We start from the raw sequence: 7,157 nt of genomic DNA on the forward strand, positions 1-7,157 counted from the left end.
CTCTTCCCTAAGCCACAGCCTGAAAGCATGTTTTCCCAGCCTCTCTTGCAGCTAGCGCACAGACATGAGACCAGGCTTCAGCAACTGGAGTGTCCAGACTGTGATTCAAGAAGAGGGACATGGAGTCCATTTTGCTAAAGAGGCTGTTTTTTTGAGGGTGGTGGTGGCCACAAAGCCTACTTTCTGGCACAGAGCTGGCATTGGAGCTGGTGACAGTGGTGACTTTGGTGAAATCAGGCTCCTGATAGAGGCAAACTAGCTGCTTAGTGGCAGCATCAGTAGTGGATTCCTCATCAGACTAGATTGATGCTTTCAAGTTTGGCTCCTGAATTTTGAGCCCTATTCTGCTGCACCCTAGCAGATTGACAAGCCCCCAGTGTGCTCTCAATAAACTCCTCTCCAGCCTAATGGGCTGGGGGCCACTTCTGTTGCTCACCATGTAGAACGCTGACCAAGACAAGCGCCCAGAGGGAATTTCTATACTGTGCAGAGTTGGACACAAACACCTCTTATCCCTGTCAAGGGCTGATTCCAGAGTCTAGAGAATTTTTGTCAATCAGCTGGAGAGGCAATTTCTAGTGACTTTAACACACTGGTGAAATGGCTCTGAAAACTTGAAGGCAAGACCTGTTAGGGGCATATTAGTCAGGGTTCTTCAGGCAGACAGAACCAACAAGGGAGAAAAACAGGAAAGGAAGAAGGAAGCAGGGAAGGAAGGAAGGAAGGAAGGAGAGAGAGAGAGAGACAGACAGACAGACAGACAGACAGAAAGAGAAAGAGAAAGAAAGAAGGAAAAAAGAAAGGGGAAGAGAAGAAAAGAGAGAGAAGGGAGGGAGGGAAGGAAAAAAGGAAAGAAAAAGGAAGAGAGGAAGGGAGAAGAAGAAGGAGGAGGAGGAGGAGAAGGAGAATAGAAGGAAGGAAGGAGAAAAGAAAGAGATTGAGAGAAACATTGATTTTAAGGAACTGGCTCACATGATTGTGGAAGCTGACAAGTGCGAAATCCAAAATCTGCAGGGTAGGCCAGCAGCCTGGAGATCCAGGGAAGAATTGCAGTTCAAGTCCAAAGACCATCAGCCAGCAGGATTCCTTCTCCCTCAGAGAGGTCAGTCTTTTTCTCTTAAGGCCTTCACCTGGTTAGATGAGGCTCACCTACATTATGGAGGGTAATCTCCTTATTCACAGTCTACTGATTTAAATGTTAAATCTCAACTAACATATACCTTCACAGAAACATCTGGAATAATGTTTGACTATATATCTGAGCACTGGGGCCTAGCCAAGCTTACATATAAAAATTAACCATCACAGGACCCGTACCAAGCAATGTAATTATTTGATAGAGGTTGATGTACATAATTATTGATGTAATTATTTGACAAGTTGAGATTCTCATTTTACAAAACACTGTTTTTGTCCCTGTATGTCTCTGAACTTCACACAGCACCTGGCACAAAGACTTGACGTGTGTTTCAGAGATGGGTGTTTGGATGGCTGGGTAAGTGGTAGGTCTTATTGTCCAGTTTTTTGACAGCATTTTATTTTTCTTCTCTGCATCTTATCAACATTTTTTATATATTTCGAAAGTACATGGCCAGTCATGGTGGCTCACACCTGTAATCCCAGCACTTTGGGAGGCCGAGGAGGGTGAATCACCTGAGTTCAGGAGTTCAAGACCAGCCTGCCCAACATGGCAAAACCCCATCTCTACTAAAAATACAAAAATTAAATGGGCGCGGTGGCATGCACTTGAAATCCCAGCTACTCAGGAGGCTAAGGCACCAGAATCGCTCGAACCTGGGAGGCAGGGGTTGTAGTGAGCCGAGATCACCCTACTGCACTTAAGTCTGGGTGACAGAGTGAGACTCTGTCTCAAAAATAAATAAATAAATAAAAATAATTTCCTCTGTTGGTGTGGGGAGCAAGGGCGGTTGTCTGGAGCATCGCTCTTTAACTGAGGTAAGTCTTTAGGCACGAGCAGGAGTTGAGTTGGCACGGTGATTAGCCCAGGGAGATGCAGGTTTAAAGGGTGCACACCCAGCAGCAGAGGGAACAGCACGTGCAAAGAAGAAAAACAAGGAAGAACACAGTGCCGTCCTAAAGATGCAGCTAGTTTTGGTGCTGTTGGTTTTGTGGTTATTGCTTATTTTAATATCTCTGGAAAAGTCACAAAAATGGGGTTTAGCCTAGATAAGGAAAAATTGAGCTCAACTGGTTTGTGTAAGGAATAGGTTTCATATCCTCAGGAAACTGATTAGGAAGAAATAGGTTTAAAAAGGAGGGTAGGAAACAAAGAACTTGAAATTACCACTAGGATAATCAAACTTGGGCTTGTGCTACAAATACCACGGAGCTGTGTGTGGAATATCCTTCCACCGGAGGCAGCCGGGAGGAAATGACCAGGACTGACTCCTTGCGGAGGCCAGACCAAGTGACTTCCACCATTTTGTGGCTAATGTTTGTGCAATGGATGGTGTAGCATCATAGTCTCCGACTCTTCCAGAAAATACTCCAGTTTAAATTGGCTACAAATACAATCAATTGTTTGGTCAGTGAAAGGCTGCAGTCTCTATGAACCTTACCATACGCATCTATTTCCATGAGCCAAAATGCTAATGCAATTCCATCCCGTGGAACTATTCCCCGTGGTTAGTCTAAAAATCAGCTTTACTCACCCGGTGAATCAACTGACCACAAAATCCCACTGAGGAAATAACATTGGGAAAGCACCCAAAAAGAATCCTGTTGTGATTTATTTGGAACAACCATTGCTATGTTTTTATTTTTATTTTTATTTATTTATTTATTTTGAGACAGAGTCTTCCTCTTGTCGCCCAGGCTGGAGTACAGTGGTGCGATCTCAGCTCACTGCAACCTCCGCCTCCCAGGTTCAAGGGATTCTCCTGCCTCAGCCTCCCAATTAGCTAAGATTACAGGCACCTACCACCACACCTGGCTAATTTTTGTGTTTTTAGTAAAGATGGGTTTTTGCCATGTTGGCCAGGCTGGTCTTGAACCCCTGACCTCAGGAGATCCACCTGCCTTAGCCTCCCAAAGTGCTGAGACTATAGGCATGAGACACTGCGCCTAGCCAAAAACATTGCTATGTTTTTAAAACACGGTTTTTCAATATTTTAAAAAGATGCCTTTTAAAATATTGATTGGGAAATGACATTTTCCAAGCCTACACCTTCATAGTTACATTGCCCTTAAGAGGTACACTTCTTATTGAGAATCTGTTTTCTCCCACAATATTGATTAAGTCAGGACAATTTGCCAGGCATCAATAATATGCTGCCTTCATGGGACTTACTGTCTAGAATTGCTGCTGCTTCTGCCTGTTCCCACTACTATATTTTCTTGAGCTTCACTTTCTATAATGTGTTATGAAAGCAGTAGGTATTTTTCATTTATCGTATTTTTAAAATATGATAATTATGTTAAATAGGTTTTTTCAAATGATGCATGTTCACCTGCTGAAATGCAAATGCCATCCCCCTTACCATACCCTCCCTCCAAGACACACCTGTTCCCCAAAAGAGACAAACAGATGTTTCTGGATCCTTCCCTTAAATATTTACTTATGATGTGGTAGTAGCTTTCACAACTGACCGTCTCTTAACTACCCTGCTGGATTCACTGTAAACCATGTAGACTTCTGTAAATGATGATGATTCCCATGACCCCTGAAACACCTGAAGCTGGCAGGCTCCACCTGACTTTGTCCATGGATTCCCACATATTGAATTAACCCTTTGCTCCCCAAACCTGTCAAAGCCAGTTTATTCATTCATGCACAGACATCTGAGCGCCTATGATGTGTACACACTGTTTTAAGCTCTGGAGACACTGCAGTGATAAAGAACAGAGAAGTCCTGTCCTCAAGGAGCTTCTATGCTAGTTATACTTATTTGCTTCTACGGTTTAATTACATGTTGTAAAACCTATTTAAAAATGAATGGGAAGCTGGGCATGGTGGTTCATGCCTGTAATCCCATCACTTCGGGAGGCTGAGGCAGGTGGATTACCTGAGGTCAGGAGTTCAAAACTAGCCTGGCCAACATGGTGAAACCCCGTCTCTACTAAAAATATAAAATTAGCCAGGTGTGGTGGTGATTGCCTGTAATCCCAGCTATTCAGGAGGCTGAGGCAGAAGAATTGCTTGAACTGGGTAGGCGGAGGTTGCAGTGAGCCTCGACTGCACCATTGCATGGAGTGACATGCATGGAGTGTTGCCTGGGCGACAAGAACAAAACTCTATCTCAGAAAAGGAAAAAAAAAAAAAAAAAGAATGGGAAAAGAAGTTCTTGCTCCTATGAAAACCAAGTTGAATGTTTTGGCATGACTGAATAGATGCAAGTTGCTTCAAACAAATGCTGTTGAATTTGGCATGGGCCAGACAACCATCAACTATTGGAGAAAATGGTACGAATACGGGATTCTGCTTTGCAAATGTCTGTAAGTTCTTCCTGGAATTTTAAAAAACTGAAACTGGAGGTTATAGATGAATTATTTCAGGGTGTGGTTTAGACAAGATAGACAAGGAATGCTACTCAACAGACCTAGATGGCAAAGCAGAAAGGCAAGAAGAGAGGCACCTAGAGTGCAAAGGTTAAGAAGGCACTGCCCTCAGGACCATGCAAGTGCAGGGTCAGCACCTGAGAGCAAGCGCCTCATTAAATGTTGTGCTCTTATTTCTGACCTGCCTCGCCCTCCTCCCAGCCCTGCCAGATGGCCTCAGGCCTATTTATGCTTTTAAACTTAAATATGGAAGGAGCGTAACACTTTTAAAGATTCATCATTTTATTAACTAACCAACCAGTTCCAATCTGTTGGAGGGAAAGCTTCTACAGTATCAAAAATATCGAGGCTGGGCGCGGTGGCTCACGCCTGCAGTCCCAACAATTTGGGAGGCCAAGGCAGGGAGATCACTTGAGGTCAGGAGTTCGAGACCAGCCTGGCCAACATGGGGAAACCCCAGTCTCCACAAAAAATATAAAAATTAGCCAGGTGTGGTGGCACATGCCTGTAATCCCAGCTACCGGGGAGGCCAAGGTGGGAGGATTGCTTGAACCAGGGGGATGGAGGTTGCAGTGAGCTGAGATCACGCCACTGGACTCCACCCTGTGAGACAGAGTGAGACTGAGATTCTGTCTCAAAAAAAAAAAAAAAAATTGAGCTTGCTGTACTAATAGCAAGCATTTATGGAGTACTTTACATGGATTGGTGAATGTTCTAAGTACATTGTGTTAACTCTATGCTATGGTCTGAATGTTTGTGTCCCCTGCCAAAATTTACATGTTGAAAGTCTAACCCCCAAGGTGTTAATATTAAATATTAGGAGGTAGGTGGGGCCTTTGGGAGGTGAATTAGATCGTGACAGGGGAGCCCACATTCATGGGATTAGTGCCCTAATAAAAGTGGCCTCAGAGGGCTAGCTTGCCACTTCCACCACATGAGGACACAGTGAGAAGGTGCCATGCAAAAACCAGAAAGCAGGCACTGAATCTGCCAGTGCCTCAATCTTGGACTTCCCAGCCTCCAGAACTAGGACACATTTCTGTTGTTTATCAGCCACCTGTTTATGGTGTCTTATTATAGCAGCCTGAATGGGCTAAGATACTTCCAGCACTCAGAACATCGCTGTGTGTTGAATACTATTATTATTGTTCTTCCTATTTTATGCATGAGGAAACAGGCATTGTGAGATGAATTGCCCAAAATCCCACTGCCTGGCTCCAGAGCCAGAAACAGCGGCACTCCATATTCCTTTAAGGAACCCCTTCTCCCTTCCTCTCAGGTCATATGAGTCATGTGGGGCTCTACCCCTGTCCAGAGTGAGGTGCAGGACCCAGCCTGGCAGTCAGCAAAGTTCCAGCTCCCTGGCTGAAGTGCTTGGCTCAGGGGCAAGTGCAGACCTCAGCTGATGCATCCCAGGACCGGGGCTCCCAGGAAGAGCCTCTGTCTTTTCAGCTGAGACAGCTGGCAATGAAGTAGATGATTACTGGTGTCCCTAAGAGGAGCCTGAAAACAAAGCCAACACAGAGGAAAGCAGAGGCAAGAGGAGGAGAAGGACTATGTCTCAGTGCCCTTGTTGAAGTCCTGGATGAGTCTTTCTTTTTTTTTTTTTTTTTGAGACGGAGTCTAGCTCTGTCGCCCAGGCTGGAGTGCAGTGGTGCAATCTTGGCTCACTGCAACCTCTGCCTCCCAGGTGTCAGGCCTCTGAGCCCAAGCCAAGCCATCGCATCCCCTGTGACTTGCATGTATACGCCCAGATGGCCTGAAATGACTGAAGAATCACAAAAGAAGTGAATATGCCCTGCCCCACCTTGACTGATGACATTCCACCACAAAAGAAGTGTAAATGGCCGGTCCTTGCCTTAAGTGATGACATTACCTTGTGAAAGTCCTTTTCCTAGCTCATCCTGGCTCAAAAATTACCCCCACTGAGCACTTTGCGACCCCCACTCCTGCCCGCCAGAGAACAAACCCCCTTTGACTGTAATTTTCCTTTACCTACCCAAATCCTATAAAACGGCCCCACCCCTATCTCCCTTCCCTGACTCTCTTTTCGGACTCAGCCCGCCTGCACCCAGGTGAAATAAACAGCCATGTTGCTCACACAAAGCCTGTTTGGTGGTCTCTTCACACGGACGTGCATGAAGTTTGGTGTCGTGACTCGGATCGGGGGACCTCCCTTGGGAGATCAATCCCCCGTCCTCCTGCTCTTTGCTCCGTGAGAAAGATCCACCTACGACCTCAGGTCCTCAGACCGACCAACCCAAGAAACATCTCACCAATTTCAAATCCGGTGAGCGGCCTCTTTTTACTCTCTTCTCCAACCTCCCTCACTATCCCTCAACCTCTTTCTCCTTTCAATCTTGGCACCATACTTCAATCTCTCCCTTCTCTTAATTTCAATTCCTTTCATTTTCTGGTAGAGACAAAGGAGACACGTTTTATCCGTGGACGCAAAACTCCGGCGCCGGTCACGGACTGGGAAGGCAGCCTTCCCTTGGTGTTTAATCATTTCAGGGACGCCTCTCTGATTATACACCCACGTTTCAAGGGTGTCAGACCATGCAGGGACGCCTGCCTTGGTCCTTCACCCTTAGCGGCAAGTCCCACTTTTCTGGGGAAGGTGCAAGTACCCCAACCCC

General features: G+C 45.6%; 2 annotated features.

Annotated features, from left to right (window-relative positions):
* Window positions 5,503-6,104: an enhancer, noted in NCBI's record as "NANOG-H3K27ac-H3K4me1 hESC enhancer chr4:24501891-24502492 (GRCh37/hg19 assembly coordinates)". NCBI's record gives its function as "activates a minimal SCP1, AML or CMV promoter by ChIP-STARR-seq in primed H9 embryonic stem cells {active_cell/tissue: H9 hESC(primed)}" and the evidence as "EXISTENCE:reporter gene assay evidence [ECO:0000049][PMID:30033119]".
* Window positions 6,105-6,704: an enhancer, noted in NCBI's record as "OCT4-NANOG-H3K27ac-H3K4me1 hESC enhancer chr4:24502493-24503092 (GRCh37/hg19 assembly coordinates)". NCBI's record gives its function as "activates a minimal SCP1, AML or CMV promoter by ChIP-STARR-seq in naive and primed H9 embryonic stem cells {active_cell/tissue: H9 hESC(naive and primed)}" and the evidence as "EXISTENCE:reporter gene assay evidence [ECO:0000049][PMID:30033119]".

Source organism: Homo sapiens, chromosome 4 (genome assembly GCF_000001405.40).
Source record: "Homo sapiens chromosome 4, GRCh38.p14 Primary Assembly".
NCBI lineage: Eukaryota > Metazoa > Chordata > Mammalia > Primates > Hominidae > Homo > Homo sapiens.